The sequence below is a fragment of the Homo sapiens genome, chromosome 1, assembly GCF_000001405.40.
Source record: "Homo sapiens chromosome 1, GRCh38.p14 Primary Assembly".
In the NCBI taxonomy this organism is placed as follows: Eukaryota; Metazoa; Chordata; class Mammalia; order Primates; family Hominidae; genus Homo; species Homo sapiens.
The window spans coordinates 242,481,205-242,503,357 of record NC_000001.11 but is presented as its reverse complement, the minus strand read 5'-3'; the positions used below and the strand labels follow the sequence as shown (position 1 = coordinate 242,503,357).

The following is a 22,153-nucleotide window of genomic DNA, read 5'->3' as shown; positions in this document are numbered from 1 at the left end:
AAAGCAGAAGCAGGACGACGCCTGGCAGGAGCAGCAGCTAGAGTGAATGGGAGGGGCCACATCCTTTTAAACAACCAGATCTCGCGTGATCTCACTCATCACCAGTGGGATGGCACTGAGCCATTCATGAAGGATCTGTGCCCGTGATCCTGACACCTCCCACCAGGCCCCACCTCCAACACTGGGGTGACATTTCTATGAGATTTAGTCAGGACACAGATCCAAACCATATTAGATATGGAGTGGTTATTGGGTGGGAAATCAGACCTCCGCAGGACTCTGTTTTGTTTTTGTTTTTGAGACGGAGTCTTGCTCTGTTGCCAGGCTGGAGTGTAGTGGCATGATCTTGGCTCACTGCAACCTCTGCCTCCTGGGTTTAAGTGATTCTCCTGCCTCAGCCTCCCAAGTATATGGGATCACAGGTGTGTGCCACCACGCCAGGCTAATTTTTGTATTTTTAGTAGAGACAGGGTTTTGTCATGTTGGCCAGGCTGGTCTCAAACTCCTGACCTCAGGTGATCCGCCCACCTCAGCCTCCCAAAGTGCTGGGATTACAGGCGTGAGCCACTGCACCCGGCCCCACAGGACTCTGTTTTACAACTTCTTTCTATCTTCTCCATCTTAAATTTATTTGCAGAAGTCAGGAGATACGCACACACACACACACGCACATACACACACACACGCACATACACACATACATGCCCATGCACTTGCGTAAGCACCCATAAACATGTAAATATTATGTAATTGATTAGTTGTAATTTCCCTGAGACTTTTGTTAAATGATTTGAAAAAATGCAAGAAAAGGTATCTTTTATTTAACAGTGTTGCATGTTTTGTTATACTGTAATTATGTGAAAATTAGCACTCTTGGTAACTGTTAATCAGAATAGATAGGTGATTATATAATTCTCTCCTGTTACTATTCTGAATAAACAAGAGTCTACTAAAAACAAGTGTTACATGAATTCCTTTAAAGGGCAGTATGCGTGCTTGGCTACTAATTAGATATGGGAAGTGATCAAGAGGACTAAGGCTGGATCACTCAGTTTCCTCTTGGGTAAGCTCCTAGACGGTGGCCATCGACATTGTAAATCTAGGGGCAAGCACAGAGTTTGAGGGGCACGGTGATGACTTATGTTTTAAATATGTTAAGTTTGAGGTTCTTGAGAGACATTGCAGTGGAGAGGTCTAACAAGAGTTAGATGTGTGTCTGAAATTCAGGAGGACAGCTGGGTTGGGTTGCAGACATAGACTTGGGAATCCTTAGTATGTAGGTGGTCGCTGCAGTCCTAAGAGTAGATAAGATTAACAAGAAACTGTGTCTTAGCATCTCCAGCTATTCTCAGGTTTCTGTTCTGTCCCTCTCCTTGAATGATATTTTCATACAAGTCAATATATGTTATTAAGTCAAGTCATTTGTTCAGCCAATTAACAGATATTAACTTATATGAAAATATACACAGACAGAATATACCCCAAGTTAATATATCATCAAAAAATAAATGTTATTATTTATATTTAAGGTACAGCATGATGTAGTGTATATATATATATATATATAATGGAATATTAATATATCTTAATTTTAGATTGAACAAATAAGAATTAGGAAAGTATGTCTTTTAAATCTATTTTTTTCCAGCCATAGAATGCATTGTAAAGCTTACAAAACATTCTCTTTGGATTTTTCCATGCTTTATTCCTGAGTCTTTTATGTCTATGAATTCCAATGAGAGGTGCTTGGTTCCAAAACAAATGTAAATAGGTTTAGTTTTCATTCCGTTTCTTTATGAGCATTGATCATTGAGAATTTACAGTGCTCATGTCAATGAAACAGGCAGATGCCTGCCCCAAAGTGGACAGAACTACAAATCTGGCAAAGCTAAGGAAGGAGGAGGGTGAAGGTCATACGAGAGTTAGTGGATTAATAATATGAATGATTATGATTTATTATATTTCTGTAATTTTCATTATTACAGAGGAGAAGTGTGTCCTGTACTCAGACATGCTCCAGTCCAGCTGCTTCGCTTTCTGCTCAGATTTGTTGGTCTGGGATTTCTTAAAGCACTGGTGATGAGAGAGAATTTAGGAGGTACAGACATGCTATGGCATAATTTTGGATTCTTTAATGAGGAAGGGATTCCTGCTTCAGTTCTCTAGTAATCCTGCCTATTTAATGAATGGGAAAGCTCAGTTCAGTGCTAGTGAGTCTTTAACAACTGTCTACTGTCTACCATTAACTTCAGAGAGACAGACAGACAGAGAGAGAGGTGGGTGACATACCTACTCATACTAATGTTCCATGTAGAGGACTGACACAAAATTTATTTTCCTTTTTATGAAAAGGTACTTAAGTTAAAAAAAATGAGTTGACTTAAAGAAAAACGTTAAATGATACTACTCTAGGTGGTATGTGGATATGGCTTCTAGTTGCTGTCCCTAACCTTTCATCTTCCCTCTATGTCACCTGTGAAGCCCCGACATTTAGTTATTCCTAAGCATAGCTTCCTTGATCAACATTCTACAGTGGTCCTCTCCTGAATGGAGTCTTGCTAGCAGACCATCCTTTCTTTTCATAGTCCACCTTATTACGGACTACATCCTGTCTCCCTCAATTTTGGATGTTTTAGGCTCCTGGGCTCTGTACCTTTGCTCCTTCTTCTCTTCTTCCCTTCCCCAACCTGCTCACGGCAGGAGTTTGATTCCAAGTCCCACCCACACATCAAAGCCCTGCTGTAGTGCCTTAGTTACTGACTGCAACTGTACCAACCGTCACATCTTTCTTGCTTTTATGAATTTCTGTTGCATCTTTGATCAGTTATCACAGTTCGGCACTTAATTGCACTCCCATTGTTTCAGGTACTTGTCTGTATCTTAGCAAATTATTTTCCGTATCCTAGCAAATGTCTTGCTAGCAGGGATGGTCATTTATTCTTGTCTACGGATACTGTGCATAGAACAGTGTTGGACAGTTGATTATCAGAAATACATGTTTAAGCGGTTTAACCAAATAAACTGTGTTTTCTAAATAAACTGTAATAACCAAATGTGTAACCAAATAAACTGTATTTTCCAAAAGCTGGTATGCACCTAGAAGTGTCCCAAGATGCATGAGTTTGTTTTTTTAGCACAGTGGTTTTTAAACATGGCCACAGATTCTTGATCCCCATCCCTTGAAACTGGCTGGCCCTATGACTGCTTTGACCAATGTACTATGACAAAAGCTACACTATGTGACATCCAAGGCTTGATCATAAAAGACTGTGCGGCATCTGAACCATTATTCTTGGAGTTCTGAGCCACACTATAAGTATGACGACCCTGTGTCCGCCAGGCTGCAAGGAAGTCCAAGCTATATTGAGAGGCCCCAGGTAAGCACTGTGGTCAGCCATCCCAGTTGAGCCCCCGTTTGGTCATTCCAGCCAAGGTTCTGGACATGTGAGTGAAAAGGCCTGTAGATGATTCCTGTAGTTAGCTATTCCAGTCACTCCCAGCAACTTAAGTCTTCCCAAGTGGAGGAAATAGACATGTTTAAGCAAATATAAGCCATCCCTCCTGGGCCCTGCCAAATTCCTGCCTGCACAATCCATGAGCACAACAAAATAGTTTGCTTTATGCCACCAAGTTTTGGGGTGGTTTGTTCGACAGCTATGGGTAACTGGAACACTTCCTTAAAAAGAGATCATAAGCCTTCGTAGTTCATCCCCTGTGTAGCCCATCTTATTGCCAATTACACTTACACTAAAACAAACAAAAAGTGAAAAAACAAGACAAAATGCGAAGTAAGAAAGGGAGATCTTAAAAGAAAAAGGGGAGTAAAGTGGCAGAAAGCAAAGGCCACGGACATAATCATATCAATAGAGATGTAGATACAGATATATGATAGATAGAGGTAGATAAATATGAAGATATAGATAGAGAAAGGCTAAGATACATTATTAGCATAACTATTATTGGTAGATTTCACTTCCAAATTCTTTATAACAGTAAATCTACTTAGCTAAATTCTTGGCTGCAATTATTATTCTTTCTGCCAATTTTTATTTCTCCATGGAACCTACTTGCCACATATAAAGCCTGAGAAAAGAAGTAACTATGTCCAAACTTTTCCCTTAATCATCTTCTCTAAGATATTAATGAGCAATGAAAATGTGAAAGTGGCTTATTTTATTAACTGTCAAATAGATGAAAATTAAAGGAATAGTAAAACTTCTTTTATCATTTTAAAAATAATACTGTCAAATACTGGTGAGGATGCAAAGAAACGAATCCTTCCTCTTTTGGGGAGAGTAAATTGTAAAAACGTTTTTGTCCACTAATTTGGTAGCATACATCAAAACATTAACATGGTTAATATGAACACAATTAATATTAACACTATTAATACCCTTCAACCCAGAAGTATTTTCTGTAATGAATTTGTTTTAAGAAAGTGGTTATATATGCATAAAAATTTTCTTTGAGAATGTTCATTCCAACATCTATTCTTTAACTTATTTATTAGACAAATATTTACTAACATCTCTTCAAGGCTAGGTGGAGTTCCTTGCCTTGGAGGTGAATAGGCACTAAACTGATCCACATGTGGCAGACTTTAAAATGATAAGTTCAACGAAGAAAAATGAAGCAGTGAACAATTGTGGGGAGTGGGAGCCATTTTAGTTAGGAACATTAGGGAAAGCCTCTGTAAGAGGGTGACATTACAGCAGTGTTAGTTTTAATAGAAAACATAAATTTTCAAACATAGGGACTGTTGAATAAATTCTGGCACATCCAGGCAAGGGAATAAACATAGCAGTTGAAATAGTAACAACATAACAATGTTTTTCTCATAAATTTCAATTAAGAAAAGGAGTTTAAAAAAAGATGTTTAATGTATTTTGTACATTTTCTATAACCTGTATGTTTATAATAGAGGACTACATCTCACAGGGAGAGAATGAGAAGAAGGAGATACTCCAAAATATTAATACTGGTTGGTGCTGAGTAATGGGATGAGGAATAATTTTTATTTTCTACTTTTGCTTATCTATATTTTCTAAAAAGTTCTACAATCAGCATGCAAGGTCTCATAAAAATAAATTGAAGAGGCCAGGTGCGGTGGCTCACGCCTGTAATCCCAGCACTTCGGGAGGCCAAGGTGGGCGGATCACGAGGTCAGGAGTTCGAGGCTAGCCTGATCAACATGGTGAAACCCTGTCTCTACTAAAAATATAAAAATTAGCCTGGCATGGTGGCACACACCTGTAATCCCAGCTACTCAGAAGGCTGAGGCAGGACAATTGCTTAAACCCGGGAGGTGGAGGTTGCAGTGAGCTGAGATCGCATCATTGCACTCCAGCCTGGGTGACAGAGCGAGACTCCATCTCAAAAAAAATTAAATAAATAAAATAAATTGAAGAAATAAAAAGAAAACCTGATTCTTTCAAACTACCTTCCCTCTGCTCCTGCTTTATTCGTTTGCCATCTATGGCAAAGCCCCATGAGGGCAGCCACCCTGTTGACTTACTTCCTTCCTTCCGCAGTGCTTGGCATAGTGCCTGACTCATAATATGTGAGGACATTATAAATGATTCTTGAATGAAGAGACACATAAAGACCCGATAGAAAGCAGAGCTGTATTTGTCGAGCAGTTTTTATGTTCCAGGTATAACACTAGGTTCTTCAAATATGTTATCTCATTTAATTTCTGCAGCAACAGTGTGAGGGAAGGATGAAGCTCTCTTTTTCATGCTTAGAAAACAGAGGTTTAGCGAAGTTAAACAGCCATATGTGGAGACCTGGTATTCAAACCCAGGCCTGTTCCAATGGATGGCTCAGTCCACATTTTATTGCCTCTGGAGTCTTTCTGTCCCCACCTGCCTCCATACACACACACAAAGGATGTGGCCCATACATATAGAAAATTTAGAGGAAGAGAAAGATCTTTTTGGGCAGGTGCATTGCATCTGAGAGGTCATTTTTTCCTTTATTAACATAAATATAAGTAAGAAAGAATGATGTCTGATTGGACTATAGTAAAATAATAAGACATCATTAATAGTTTTTAAAAATATGGCAACAACATTTGGTAAGGTTATCTGGTGTCATTGAAAGAACTCTGAATGTTGTGGTATTAGTAGGTCTGGGTTTTAGTCCCAGCTCAGGCTCCTAATCTGTGACATCTTTATGCAGTAGATGTAGTTTTGGCTGCATGTAACAGAGCTCCCAAAGCAGTGGCTTATGAAGATAGAACTTCGTATCTCCCTTACATGAAAGTTAAGACGTAGGCAGCTCCTGGATTTGTATGAGGTCTCCGGTCTCCTGGGACCCCTTCCAACTGTCTGCTTGGGCTTCTGGAGTGTGTGTTTCTCTTCCACAGAGTCCAGCCCACTTTCTCAGCCAGAGGATGGAGGAAGGGCAAGAAGGAACATCTGCCCTCCCCTTTAGAACACATCCTAGAAGTTGCACTATCACATTCCTGTCCATCCTGCTGGCTAAAACTTAGTCACATACTGCAGCTAGCTGCAAGGGAGGCTGACACATATAATCCTGCTTCTGGAAAGCCAAGGGATGAGCTAACATTCAGGGGTGTTTTGTGAGGGCAGATATTAGGGGACACTTAGAAATCTATGCCACAATCCTTTAAGGACTGTTCTAGAGTTCTGAGCTTCTTTAGATATCCCTAAAGACACCAATTGTATACATATTCTGATGTGTGTGTTGTGTATATGAAAAAAAATGAAAGAGAATTATAAATGACAATATTGGTAACTTTTAAACTGTGGTTTCACTTAGTCCTCTGATAGAAACAATCTCGCAAAGTCTAATGAAGTGCAAAGAAAGTGAATCTATCCAGAAATGCTTTTTAAAAAACTGCCAGTGGGAACATAATCAAGTGATGTTTGATAAGGCTGTGGTAGAAGCTATTAAATCATTACCTTATATGACATTAAATAGCAAAAACCTCCATTTTATAAAATTATTGAAAGGGATGTCAATCTGTGCCTACTGAAGTTGAAACTGACTTTTTCAAGAGTAATTGTGTGGAGTATTATTTTCTTCAAAGTTGCCTTCCATCTTAGGAGAGCAAAAATTCAAGCAAGACAGGTTTTTTTTCCCTTTCTTCTTGGCTTTATCTCCCTTACACAGTTTAAAAGAGAATTAAGCTTATTTTAGTTCTCTGATTTTTTTCCCCCATTGCAAACATTTTCTGGTTGGAACGTAATCCAGTGTTCTCAGATATTATTTTGGTCTAGGAATGTCCCTGGTTGTACAACAGAGGCACTAAAGAACAAATACACTTTCCTTGCCAATGATAATTGCTAAAGCAAAAGGGAACATTTGAATTTAAGTTCTGGTAATAATTTCTTATTTACATTACACCAATTTGATGCCAAAAGTAATGGGGGTGTTATGGTTATATAATTAAACATGAAACACGACAACATGTGGAAGGTTAGGACCTCTTGTTATTATTTCATCTGCTTTTTATAATAACATATGATGTTTCCCTAGGGGGTCTGATGATAGATGATGGTAGTCTCTAATATTTGAATGAAGAATGCAAACATTGTTACTTTAAATCAGTGTTCTCTGTGCCACAAGCAGCCTAACTCTAGATGAGGTGGTATTGATTTTTAACCAGTGATTGTTAGAGATTAGAAATCAAACTAATCACATTCTGTTCCCTAGATCTCTTCTCTCCTTGTTAACATTCTATTTTTTTCCATTTTTATTCTTCACCCACTTATTTGTTCACCAATTTTCCTTGAACACTAATATGTCTGTAAGAAAATTATGGTAAAGACGTTCTAAAATAGAAATAACATCTCAGTAACATTGAACATATTATTTCCTTGCTAATTTTAGAAGGGTTGCTACGTCTTTGCTTGTGTTTCTCCCTGGGATACTGCTTACAGCTCGTGTCTTCACTGCTTTTTCATTCATGAACTTGTTTGGAATCCAATTCTTCTAAAACTTTTCTTATTCTCTGTTTGGAAAACAAACAAACAAACAAAAATCAATGGACCTCCTGCTGGAAGAAGTGGTGTCCGTCTAGCTAAGTCCTTCCCATGGGGCCCTTGGGTGCTGGAAACTGGTGAACAAGCATTTTTTGAGCATCCACATGGTTCCCAGCTGGGCACTGGTTGGGGGAGATTGGAGAGGACTTTGTCAATTAGACAATGAAGGCATTTGGTTTGTGCTTCTGAAGGCAAGAAGCAAAATCTAGTTTATGTCATCTTCTGCTAAGTATGGGTTTCAGTTGAGGCAGAACTGTCTGCTTGACTTGGTTAAGTGGTGTGCTTGTGAGAATAGTCATTTTATACCTAAGATAGAGTAATAGCACTATTTCCTGCTGCTTCTCAGGAATGTGGTCACTTAGATAACCATACAGGCTCCCACTTTCAAGGGAGGACTTAGGGACCAACTGCAGGACATTAGTAAGGGACAGAAAACTGACACAGGACAAAACAGCAAAAAAAAAAAAACAGAAAAGAAAAAAAAATTGGGGGTTGTGTCAGCCAATTTTCAAATAGCCCACTAAAGTTTTGCAGAATGAAAAATATAGACCATGAGTTATATCAAGATTATTATGGAAGAGCCCTCATAAAGAAAGGATTGGTGATAATAGGGTGAAGTTCTTTTTCAGTTATTGAGACTCTCTGGATGAAAGAGTCAGATGTGAGTTTGGGACAGTTTGTGGTCATTTTGGAACATAAAATAAACCTTGGCTGGGGTTTGAGGTAGTATCCAGCAAGCAACCGCAAACACCAGCCGGTTCTGCTCTGTAAAGCCTGGTGCAGAGGTAGATATGTTGGCTAGAGGCGGGGAGATGTGTGCTCCAGGAGGTACACAGTGAGAGTCAGTGATCCAGGCCGTAGGGACAGACTTAGAGCAGGAAGAGGGGATGGGATGGCAGAAGTGATGGGAAAACCATGTCTGCAGAAACTGGGATAAACCATCAGCTTAAAGCCTTTATCCAAAAGCAGAGGGAGGCTGCTGCAGACCTGCATGTGGCAGGCAGTTCACGTAGCTCTGTGGAGCATTTAAATGGGGGCTGCCACATGCCTAAGTGTGCCTGGTGTACAGAACAGGCGTTCTATAGGGCCTGCGGTAGGACAGCATCTTGCATAGCCTGGGAAAAGGGGATGTGAGTGCCATTTGGCCCGAGTTAGAATTAGGAAGGAAGAAAAGTCAGGAAGGACACCAAAACTTAGAATCGAGAGAGGAGAGGGGAGGAGAGGGGAGGAGAGGGGAGGAGAGGGGAGGAGAGGGGAAGGGAGGGCAGGGGAGGGGAGTGGAGGGAAGGGAAACATGAAGCATACCAATGCAAAGGCAAATAAATGCAATTATTAGAGATGGTGAAAGATAAAAAGGAAGTTTTCTGAGCTACCTGAGCTCACTCTCAAGAGCGATATTTTAGGTTAGAACTCATTGCTTAATTCCTTTTCGACAGAGCTTAGCTATGAGAAGGGATTTTTGCAGTCAGGAATACTAAAAAGAAAGCGGTTGTGCATATTATTTCCAGTCCTTCATGTTATGGGTTCCTCTCTGCTGGAGCACTGCTTGTGGGACTGACCCCATGGAGCCTTCCCGGCACCAGGGGATGCTGAACATGGATGGTCTGTAACTATCCTCTGCTGGAGGCCCCAGAGGGCATGTGTGTGGGTGAGAGTAGTGAGTTCTGAGTCCCACAGGGCCCATCCTGGCAGCTCCCTGGGGCTGCTTTCTAGACAAGCCCGTCCTCTCTCCAGCTATCCTCGGTGGCCATGTGGCAGCCTCCAGCTTTGGAGGTGGCGGCGAGGGCAGGGGGCTGGCGAAACTGACTGCTTGTCCCTGGCTTCTACCAGTCCTCCCTGCCAAAGGTGTCTCATTTGTTCTGGCCCTCCTCTTCTGCAACATGAAAATTTCCCTCTGACCCTTTGGATGGACGCTGTCCAGAAGCATAACCCGGTGCTCGCCTCTCTCCTCCTGTTCTGACCCCTGCATGTCGAGGCTTCAGCATGAAGGCTTCAGACATTCGCTGCGTGGCCTCCCAGCTTGTGGGCCAACCCCTTCATCTTGTGGGGTTTCCCAGTTTTTTCTTTTTAATAGTCAAGTCCACAGGTTGCCCTTTCCTCTCATTTTGGGAATACTGTGGTGTGTGACCAAGGTCCCTATGTGTATGACAGGAAGGGTAATTGGCAAGTAAGACATTCTGAATAGAATATATGAAAATTGCCAACTTTTATGGTTTTGTGAGATATCCTAAACTATTAGAGTAAGAATTAAAATATTTCTTTTCTAGTGAGCCTTAGCAGAAATGGATATAGGTCAGGTTGGTTTCTTGCTTTTTTCTTTTGCAGTGTATTCAAAACATAGTGTTATGGACTGAATGTTTGTGGTTCCCCCTCCCAAATTCATATATTGAAATCCTACCTCCCATGTGATGGTTTTAGGAAGTAGAGCCTTTGGGAGGTGATTAGGTCATGAGGGTGGCACTCTCATGAATAGGATTAATGCACTTATAAGAAGAAACATAAGAGGGGTGATTTTCTCTCTCAGCTGCATGAGAATACACGGAGACAACAGATGTCTGCAAACCAGGATGTGTGTCTTCCTCAGGCACTGGATCTATTGGTGCCTTGTTCTTGGACTTCCCAGCCTCCAGAACTGTGAGACATAAATATATTTTGCTTAAGCCACTTAGTCTAGGGTAGTCTGTTATCGCAGCCTGGACTAAGACACATAGTAAACCATGTAGGTTGCTTTGCAAATTTTTCAGATACATGGCATTGTTATAGTTTGCAATACCATAGTAACAGTATATGATGTTGTATTCTATCTCTTTTCTTTTTTTTTTTTTTGAGACGGAGTTTTGCTCTTGTTATCCATACTGGAGTGCAATGGTGTGATCTCGGCTTACTGAAACCTCTGCCTCCCGGGCTCAAGCGATTGTCCTGCCTCAATCTCCTGAGTAGCTGGGATTACAGGCACCCACCACCATGCCCAGCTAATTTTTAGTATTTGTTTTTTTTTTAGTAGAGACAGGGTTTCACTATGTTGGCCAGGCAGGTCTCGAACTCCTGACCTCAGGTGATCCACGTGCCTCGACCTCCCAAGGTGCTGGGATTACAGGTGTGAGCCACGTGCCTGGCCACCGTGTACACTATTTTTATCTGTTCTTTCACACTGGTGGCTGGGGAGGAGAGGTGAACAGCAGAGGAGCATAGGAGCATTCATAGAACTCTTGGCTGTGTTCATTGACAGTAGACACCCTCATAAGAGACTGTTTGCTATACTAAAAATTAGTAGACTATGAGGAAAATAAGAAATAAATAGATGTGTTGCACTTGATATGTCATTCATACAGATAAAAAAGATTGTGACTAGCCAAAGAGATGGATTGTGAATTTCAAGCCTGTGATAAATGTCTAGCATTCTTGAGCTCCAAGGTCTATAAAATTTTGATAATTGCAGCATTATAAGAATGGAGGTGAAGAAGGAAGGGATAAATGAGCCAAATGTTAAGAATATGTGTGGAAAGTTACTCCAACAGTTTCATGGAGACAAAATCCTATTAATATCAAGGGAAGTATTAGAGCATCTAAGGATGGCCTGAAGTAAATTATCAAAATGGAGAACACAGTGCCACAGAATGAGGACATAGAAAATCTGAAGACTGAGTTTCAGGAGAAAGAATGAGGCAACATAAAACTGACAAATGAGACTAGAGAAGGTTGAGAGCACAAGAAAACAATGGGATATCTGGAAAATTTTCTTTGTGGAGCAGAACCCAATTCATGATATGATTTAAATATTTAAAGTATTTAGATATAATATACGTGTTTACTATTTTTTGTTTTTCTACTGTCTTATGGAATTGAATTTTGAGTTCAGTGTAGCTGGACTATATCCACTGTGTTTGCCTTGTAAAGGGTTGACAGTGGTGTTTTCTAAGGCATCTATGTAATTGTGTGTTTATGTGTGTGTGTGCGCACATGCACACGTTTCTTCATGTATCTATTATACATATCTCTGTATCTAAATGTCTATCTATATATAAGTAATATGGAAAAGAGGAAGTTTTTTCAATGTTCTCTTCTAGAATTATGATCAACAACTCAGGAAAATACTCAACTTGAAAGAGATTAGTGAATGTGGACTCGAAAGGTCTAAGACAGAGAAAGAAGTTGCTGTAGGTAAGTATACTGAACTCAGAATATGAAAATGAACGAATATTAAAGCTGGAGAAGATGCCAAGAAATTCTAAGAATACAAGATTAGCAGTGGGAATTAGAAATATAATTTAGATCAGTTGAGCCTGAAGAATAACTTAGTGAAGATCAAGGGAATAAAATGTGTCTGAAAGGAGGAGACTGTCATGTCCCAAAGGTATATGTGGGGGGAAACATCAAAGCCTGGTGTGCAAGAAGCTCCTGCTAAGCCTTGTTATTCAAAATGTGCTTTACAAAGAGGAAGCAGGAAGGAGCATCACCACGGATTTTATTAGGAATGCAAAACCTAAGGCGCTCCTCCAAATTTTCGGAACCCCAGGGTCTACTGTTGCCAAGGCTTCAGGGAGCATCACAGTCTGAGAAGCATTAGGGTATGACGTAGCGGTAGGTTTTCTCTACACAGTATTAAAGAGATATTGAAATCCTCAAGATTAAAAAAGAGATGAACATTGAGGAATTCTGTAATGCAGATGTGGGTTCTACACAAAGGTTGCTGAGAACCGAGGCATTGCCATGTAGCCCCAATATTCAGTGTTTTAGAAATCAAGTTTATATAATAAATGAACGTTTTGATGCAGCAAATGAGGAACCTAGACATTCAGTGAAGAGAATTAAAAATATATGTTATTAAGAAAATGTGTAACTGAACAAAACCGAAGAGGGCCAAAAATTAGTAATCCTGTGTTCGAGGTATAGTTTTGAAAGTTTATATTTAAGAGAAAGACTGAAAGAAAATTTGTATGTGCACACATAATTACAATACAATTAAAAAATGGTATTTGGTTTATTTTAGAACACTTTTGCAAAACAGTGGTCTCCAAAGAGCCATGAAACAGCTTGCTGATTTTTGAATTTCTGGGTTTATTACAAATGACTACATAAAAGCCGTGTGGTAAGAAACGAACTTCTGGTAACAGATGGTGGAAAATCACCAGTAAGACCCAAACCTAACAGAGACTGCTTCTGGAGCCATGGTTCTCACTAAGGGTTATTAGCATCATTCTTTGATGATGGGCATTGAGGCATCAGAACTCATGGATATCACAGTTCCTGTGTGGAGAGGAAGCTTCAGATGGTGCTCTTGCACAGACGGGACTGCCATTCCCATTTTAGTGGATCTCTTAAAAGTTCGAATGGCTCCTCTAATGCCTGATGTGAATGGAACCTTTCTCTCTGCTTCAGTCAAGAATCTGGTGACAAAGAAGCTTCATCCTTTCAATCTTACAATTTCAATCTCCTATCTCAAGAAAGCTCATTTCTATGTATTACCAGTGCATCCTCCACATGCTCTTCTGCAGTTGTTCCTTCTGCGGGAAATGATCTCTCCTTTTGTCGAGGCTTGGTGAAATCCTTTGAAATTCTGTTGATTCTGTAAGAGCCAACACAAATACCAACTGCCCTGAATACTTTCTGGCTAAACTGCCACAATGAACGAGGATTCCTCACCCATGTCCCTCCCTTTCCCTTCCTTTCTTTTTATAATGGTATGCTTATTGTTTTTTAATGTAACATTTTTCTTACAAAAGGAATACACATTCAGTGTTAAAATGGAAATGTAGAAAAGTCTTCAGAAGAAAATAAAAATCACCTGCAAATCCATTTCCTGAAGTAATTATTTTTGCTAATGTTTTATTACAATATAGCTCATCCTCTTTCGCTGCCTCTTCCTCTTCTCTCTCCCTTCCTCCCTCCTTCCTGTCCTTCCTCTGTCTCTCCTTCCCTTTTTCTCTCTCTCTCTGGTTGCAGCATCTCTGTTTTTTCTCTGTTTTTTTTTTTAATCAAATGTATCGAGGTGTGACTTACATTCAATAAAATGCACAGTTAGATGAATTTTGAAAAATGTCATAATTCATATTACCAACATCTCAATCAAGATATATAATGCCTCCATCACCCCAAAAAGGGACGGATGATGGACTCACTCATGCTCCTCTGAAAAAAACCCTTTCCCAGCTCTCTGCCACTGATCTGGTTTCTGTCACTGGAGATGAGTTTTGCCTATACTAGGGCTTTGAATAAATAGGATCACAGAGCATGTACTCATTTGTGTCTGGCTTCTTTCACTCATTATCATATTTTTGAAATAGATCCATATTGGTGCAGATGTCAATAGTTCATTCCTTTGGTTTCTTACAGAGATTTACTTCCTCAAATATTTGCTTGATTTCACATTCTTGTTGCTACTATTACTAGAATTCATTTTCAAGTTTTAATCATCAGTACTATAATTTTAAAAAAGAGTCTTTACTTTTAGACGAGTTTTATGTTTACAGAAAAATTGAACAGAAAGTACAGAAAGTTCCCAAATACTCCCTCATCCCTTCCCTGACAGCTTCCCTTATCATTAATATCTTGCATTAGTGTGTTACACTAATGTTGTAATTGAAGAGCCAATATTGATACAGTATGGTTAACTAAAGTCCATAGTTTACATTAAGGTTCGCTGATTGTGTTGTACATTTCATGGGTTTTGGCAAATATGTAATGGCATATATCCACCGTCATAATATCCTACACAATAGTTTCACTGCCATCACAATAGTTTCACCTGTTCATCCCTTCCTCCCCTGAGCCCTTGGCCACTAATGATCAGTATTTTTACTGTATCCATAGTTTTGCCTTTTCCAGAATGTCATTGGAATCACTTAGTATTTAAAAGGCTACCCTTTTCAGATTGGATTCTTTCACTTAGCAATATGCATTTAAGGTGTCTCCATGTCATGATACCTCATGTCTCCATAAGCATGATAGCTTATTTCCTTTTAGTGCTGAATAATATTCTATTGTATACCTATACCAGTTTATTTATCCATTAATCCCTTGAAGGACATCTTGATTGCTTCCAAGTTTGGGCAATTATAAATAAAGCTGCTGTTAACATCAGTATGCACATTTTTGTGTGGATATAAGTTTTCAGCTCATTTGGGTAAATACCTAGGGGTGCAATTGCTAGATGATATGTTAATAGAATGTTCAGTTTCATAAGAAACTGCCAAACTGTTTTTCAAAGTGGCTGTACCATTTTGCATTCCCACTAGCAATTAATGAGAGTTCCTGTTGCTCCACATCTTTGTGAGCATTGATATTGTCAGTGTTTTGGATCTCCGCCTTTCTAATAGGTATGTAGTGGTATCTCACTGCACACCTACATACATACATGTTTTAAAAAACAGCTACTATTAAGTAAATTTAGCAAGGTCATGAAATATAAGATGAATATACAAAAATGATATACATACATGTACATACAATATATACATATAAATTATACACATAAAAACAACCTACAAAATGATATACATACAATATACATAAATACATAGAGAATTATAAATTAATTCTCTAAAGAAATACAATGTTGAAAATCTTCTAATGTGCTTTTATGCCATCTGTATACCTTCTTTAGTGAGGTATCTGTTCAGATCTTTTGCTCATTTTAAAATTTGGTTGGTTGTTATCATTGAGTTTTAGGAGTTCTTAGTGTATTTTAGATACCAGTCCATCAGTTGTGTATTTTGCAAAGATTATTTTCCCAGTTTGTGGCTTGTCTTTTCATTCTCTTGATAGTATCTTTAACAAAACAGAGATGTTTAACTTTAGTAAAGTCTAAGTTATCAATTACTTCTTTTGTGGATTGTGCCTTTGATATTGTATCTAAAAAGTCATCACCAAACCCAAGGTCACCTAGATTTGCTCCTGTATTATTTTCTAGGAGTTTTATAGTTCTGTGTTTTGTTTCTATATCTATGATCCACTTTGAGTTAACTTTTGTGAAAGGTGTAAGATCTATGTTGAAATTCCTCCTTTATATTTGTTTTTTGGTAGTTTTATTTGCATGTGGAGTCTATTACTTTTTACTGCTGAGAAGTACTACCAAATAGTATATTCTGGTATTCATGTGCCACATTTTCTTTTTTTTCTTTGGTCACTTTTTTTTATATATATACTTTAAGTTTTAGGGTACATGTGCACAACGTGCAGGTTTGTTACATATGTATACATGTGCCATGTTGGTGTGCTGCACCCATTAACTCGTCATTTAACATTAAGTATATCTCCTAATGCTATCCCTCCCCCCTGCTGCCACCCCACAACAGACCCCGGGGTGTGATGTTCCCCTTCCGGTGTCCATGTGTTCTTATTGTTCAATTCCCACCTATGAGTGAGAACATGCAGTGTTTGGTTTTCTGTCCTTGTGATAGTTTGCTGAGAATGATGGTTTCCAGCTTCATCCATGTCCCTACAAAGGACATGAACTCATCCTTTTTTATGGCTGCATAGTATTCCATGGTGTATATGTGCCACATTTTCTTAATCCAGTCTATCATTGTTGGACATTTGGGTTGGTTCCAAGTCTTTGCTATTGTGAATAGTGCCACAATAAACATACGTGTGCATGTGTCTTTATAGCAGCATGATTTGTAATCCTTTGGGTATATACCCAGTAATGGGATGGCTGGGTCAAATGGTATTTCTAGTTCTAGATCCCTGAGGAATCGCCACACTGACTTCCACAATGGTTGAACTAGTTTACAGTCTCAGCAACAGTGTAAAAGTGTTCCTATTTCTCCACATCCTCTCCAGCACCTGTTGTTTCCTGAGTTTTTATTTATCACCATTCTAACTGGTGTGAGATGGTATCTCATTGTGGTTTTGATTTGCATTTCTCTGATGGCCAGTGATGATGAGCATTTTTTCATGTGTCTTTTGGCTGCATAAATGTCTTCTTTTGAGAAGTGTCTGTTCATATCCTTCGCCCACTTTTTGATGGGGTTGTTTTTTTCTTGTAAATTTGTTTGAGTTCTTGTAGATTCTGGATATTAGCCCTTTGTCAGATGAGTAGATTGCAAACATTTTCTCCCATTCTGTAGGTTTCCTGTTCACTCTGATGGTAGTTTCTTTTGCTGTGCAGAAGCTCTTTAGTTTAATTAGATCCCATTTGTCAATTTTGTCTTTTGTTGCCATTGCTTTTGGTGTTTTCGACATGAAGTCCTTGCCCATGCCTATGTCCTGAATGGTATTGCCTAGGTTTTCTTCTAGGGTTTTTATGGTTTTAGGTCTAACATTTAAGTCTTTAATCCATCTTGAATTAATTTTTGTATAAGGTGTAAGGAAGGGATCCAGTTTCAGCTTTCTACATATGGCTAGCCAGTTTTCCCAGCACCATTTATTAAATAGGGAATCCTTTCCCCATTTCTTGTTTTTGTCAGGTTTGTCAAAGATCAGATAGTTGTAGATATGTGTCATTATTTCTGAGGTCTCTGTTCTGTTCTATTGGTCTATATCTCTGTTTTGGTACCAGGACCATGCTGTTTTGCTTACTGTAGCCTTGTAGTATAGTTTGAAGTCAGGTAGCATGATGCCTCCAGCTTTGTTCTTTTGGCTTAGGATTGACTTGGCAATGCGAGCTCTTTTTTGGTTCCATATGAACTTTAAAGTAATTTTTTCCAATTCTGTGCAGAAAGTCATTGGTAGCTTGATGGGGATGGCATTGAATCTATAAATTACCTTGGGCAGTATGGCCATTTTCACGATATTGATTCTTCTTGCCCATGAGCATGGAATGTTCTTCCATTTGTTTGTATCCTCTTTTATTTCATTGTTCAGTGGTTTGTAGTTCTCCTTGAAGAGGTCCTTCACATCCCTTGTAAATTGGATTCCTAGGTATGTTATTCTCTTTGAAGAAATTGTGGATGAGAGTTCACTCATGATTTGGGTCTCTGTTTGTCTGTTATTGGTGTGTAAGAATGCTTGTGATTTTTGCACATTGATTTTGTATCCTGAGATTTTGCTGAAGTTGCTTATCAGCTTAAGGAGATTTTGGGCTGAGACGATGGGGTTTTCTAGAAGTCATCGGCAATCATGTCATCTGCAAACAGGGACAATTTGACTTCCTTTTTTCCTAATTGAATACCCTTTATTTCTTTCTCCTGCCTTATTTCCTGGCCAGAACTTCCAACACTATGTTGAATAGGAGTGGTGAGAGAGGGCATCCCTGTCTTGTGCCAGTTTTCAAAGGGAATGCTTCCAGTTTTTGCCCATTCAGTATGATATTGGCTGTGGGTTTGTCATAAATAGCTCTTATTATTTTGAGATACATCCCATCAATACCTAATTTATTGAGAGTTTTTAGCATGAAGGGCTGTTGAATTTTGTCAAAGGCCTTTTCTGCATCTATTGAGATAATCATGTGGTTTTTGTCTTTGGTTCTGTTTATATGCTGGATTACATTTACTGATTTGTGCATGTTAAACCAGCCTTGCATCCCAGGGATGAAGCCCACTTGATCATGGTGGATAAGCTTTTTGGTGTGCTGTTGGATTCGGTTTGCCAGTATTTTATTGAGGATTTTTGCATCGATGTTCATCAGGGATATTGGTCTAAAATTCTCTTTTTTTGCTGTGTCTCTGCCAGGCTTTGGTATCAGGATGATGCTAGCCTCATAAAATGAGTTAGGGAGGATTTCCTCTTTTTCTATTGATTGGAATAGTTTTAGAAGGAATGGTACCAGCTCCTCCTTGTACCTCTGGTAGAATTCAGCTGTGAATCTGTCTGGTCCTGGACTTTTTTTGGTTGGTAGGCTATTAATTATTGCCTCAATTTCAGAGCCTGTTATTGGTCTATTCAGGGATTCAACTTCTTCCTGGTTTAGTCTTGGGAGGGTGTACGTGTCGAGGAATTTATCCATTTCTTCTAGATTTTCTAGTTTATTTGCATAGAGGTGTTTATAGTATTCTCTGATGGTAGTTTGTATTTCTGTGGGATTGGTGGTGATATCCCCTTTATCATTTTTTATTGCATCTATTTGATTCTTCTGTCTTTTCTTCTTTATTAGTCTTGCTAGTGGTCTATCAATTTTGTTGATCTTTCAAAAACCCAGCTCCTGGATTCATTGATTTTTTGAAGGGTTTTTTGTGTCTCTATCTTCTTTAGTTCTGCTCTGATCTTAGTTATTTCTTGCCTTCTGCTAGCTTTTGAATGTGTTTGCTCTTGCTTCTGTAGTTCTTTTAATTGTGATGTTAGGGTGTCAATTTTGGATCTTTCCTGCTTTCTCTTGAGGGCATTTAGTGCTATAAATTTCCCTCTACACATGGCTTTGAATGTGTCCCAGAGATTCTGGTATGTTGTGTCTTTGTTCTCATTGGTTTCAAAGAACATCTTTATTTCTGCCTTCATTTCGTTATGTACCCAGTATTCATTCAGGAGCAGGTTGTCCAGTTTCCATGTAGTTGAGTGGTTTTGAGTGAGTTTCTTAATCCTGAGTTCTAGTTTGATTGCACTGTGGTCTGAGAGACAGTTTGTTGTAATTTCTGTTCTTTTACATTTGCTAAGGAGTGCTTTACTTCCACCTATGTGGTCAATTTTGGAATAGGTGTGGTGTGGTGCTGAAAAGAATGTATATTCTCTTGATTTGGGGTGGAGAGTTCTGTAGATGTCTATTAGGTCTGCTTGGTGCAGAGCTGAGTTCAATTCCTGGATATTCTTGTTAACTTTCAGTCTCGTTGATCTGTCTAATGTTGACAGTGGGGTGTTAAAGTCTCCCATTATTACTGTGTGGGAGTCTAAGTCTCTTTGTAGGTCTCTAAGGACTTGCTTTATGAATGTGGGTGCTCCTGTATTGGGTGCATATATATTTAGGATAGTTAGCTCTTCTTGTTGAATTGATCCCTTTACCACTATGTAATGGCCTTCTTTGTCTCTTTTGATCTTTGCTGATTTAAAGTCTGTTTTATCAGAGACTTGGAATGAAACCCCTGCCTTTTTTTGTTTTCCATTTGCTTCGTAGATCTTCCTCCATCCCTTTATTTTGAGCCTATGTGTGTCTCTGCATGTGAGATGGGTTTCCTGAATACAGCACACTGATGGGTCTTGACTCTTTATCCAATTTGCCAGTCTGTGTCTTTTAATTGGAGCATTTAGCCCATTTACATTTAAGGTTAATATTGTTATGTGTGAATTTGATCCTATCATTAGGATGTTAGCTGGTTGTTTTGCTCGTTAGTTGATGCAGTTTCTTCCTAGCCTTGATGGTCTTTACAATTTGGCATGTTTTTGCAGTGGCTGGTACCGGCTGTTCCTTTCCATGTTTAGTGCTTCCTTCAGGAGCTCTTGTAGGGCAGGCCTGGTGGTGACAAAATTTCTCAGCATTTGCTTGTCTGTAAAGTATTTTATTTCTCCTTCACTTATGAAGCTTAGTTTGGCTGGATATGAAATTCTGGGTTGAAAATTATTTTCTGTAAGAATGTTGAATATTGGCCCCCACTCTCTTCTGGCTTGTAGAGTTTCTGCCGAGAGATCAGCTATTAGTGTGATGGGCTTCCCTTTGTGGGTAACACGACCTTTCTCTCTGGCTGCCCTTAACATTTTTTCCTTCATTTCAACTTTGGTGAATCTGACAATTATGTGTCTTGGAGTTGCTCTTCTCAAGGAGTATCTTTGTGGCATTCTCTGTATTTCCTGAATTTGAATGTTGGCCTGCCTTGCTAGGTTGGGGAAGTTCTCCTGGATAATATCCTGTAGAGTGTTTTCCAACTTGGTTCCATTCTCCCCATTACTTTCAGGTACACCAATCAGACATAGATTTGGTCTTTTCACATAGTCCCATATTTCTTGGAGGCTTTGTTTGTTTCTTTTTATTCTTTTTTCTCTAAACTTCTCTTCTCACTTCATTTCATTCATTTGATCTTCCATCACTGATACCCTTTCTTCCAGTTGATCAAATCAGCTACTGAGGCTTGTGCATTCGTCACATAGTTCTTGTGCCGTGGTTTTCAGCTCCATCAGGTCCTTTAAGGACTTCTCTGCATTGGTTATTGTAGTTAGCCATTCATCTAATCTTTTTTCAAGGTTTTTAACTTCTTTGCCATGGGTTCGAACTTGCTCCTTTAGGTTGGAATAGTTTGATTGTCTGAAGCCTTCTTCTCTCAACTTGTCAAAGTCATTCTCCGTCCAGCTTTGTTCTGTTGCTGGTGAGGAGTTGCATTCCTTTGGAGGAGGAGAGGCGCTCTGATTTTTAGAATTTTCAGTTTTTCTGCTCTGTTTTTCCCCATCTTTGTGGTTTTATCTACCTTTGGTCTTTGATGATGGTGACATACAGATGGGGTTTTGTTGTGGATGTCCTTTCTGTTTGTTAGTTTTCCTTCTAACAATCAGGACCCTCAGCTGCAAGTCAGTTGGTGTTTGCTGGAGGTCCACTCCAGACCCTGTTTTCCTGAGTATCAGCAGTGGAGGCTGCAGAACAGTGGATACTGGTGAACAGCAAATGTTGCTGCCTGATCGTTCCTCTGGAAGTTTTGTCTGAGAGGAGTACCTGGCCGTGTGAGGTGTCAGTCTGCCCCTACTAGGGGGTGCCTCTCAGTTAGGCTACTCAGGGGTCAGGGACCCACTTGAGGAGGCAGTCTGTCTGTTCTCAGATCTCAAGCTCTGTGCTGGGAGAACCACTACTGTCTTCAAAGCTGTCAAACAGGGACATTTAAGTCTGCAGACGTTTCTGCTGCCTTTTGTTTGGCTATGCCCTGCCCCCAGAGGTGCAGTCTACAGAGGCAGGCAGGCCTCCTTGAGCTGTGGTGGGCTCCACCCAGTTCGAGCTTCCCAGCTGCTTTGTTTACCTACTCAAGCCTCAGCAATGGCAGGCGCCCCTCCCCCAGCCTCACTGCTGCCTTGCAGTTTGATCTCAGACTGCTGTGCTAGCAATGAGCGAGGCTCCATGGGTGTAGGACCCTCTGAGCCAGGCACGGGATACAATCTCCTGGTGTGCCGTTTGCTAAGACCGTTGGAAAAGTGCAGTATTAAGGTGGGAGTGACCTGATTTTCCAGGTGCGGTCTGTCACCCCTTTCCTTGGCTAGGAAAGGGAATTCCCTGACCCCTTGCACTTCCCGGGTGAGGTGATGCCTCGCCCTGCTTTGGCTCAAGTTTGGTGCGCTGCACCCACTGTCCTGCACCCACT

At 39.7% G+C, this 22,153-nt stretch overlaps 1 protein-coding gene and 1 long non-coding RNA gene across 6 annotated transcripts in view; both read left to right on the top strand.

Moving 5' to 3' along the window:
- PLD5 (phospholipase D family member 5) overlaps positions 1-22,153 on the top strand; it is a 447,561-nt gene that overhangs the window by 27,189 nt on the left and 398,219 nt on the right. The gene's annotated exons all lie outside the window — the stretch shown is intronic.
- LOC105373234 (uncharacterized) lies at positions 546-13,805 on the top strand. Of its 2 annotated transcripts, none has more exons than XR_949328.2 (3): positions 546-3,377; positions 12,077-12,170; positions 13,000-13,805. It is a non-coding gene; the product is annotated as an uncharacterized LOC105373234 (long non-coding RNA). The 2 variants fall into 2 exon arrangements; XR_949329.2 differs by lacking the exon at positions 546-3,377 and adding an exon at positions 9,337-10,643.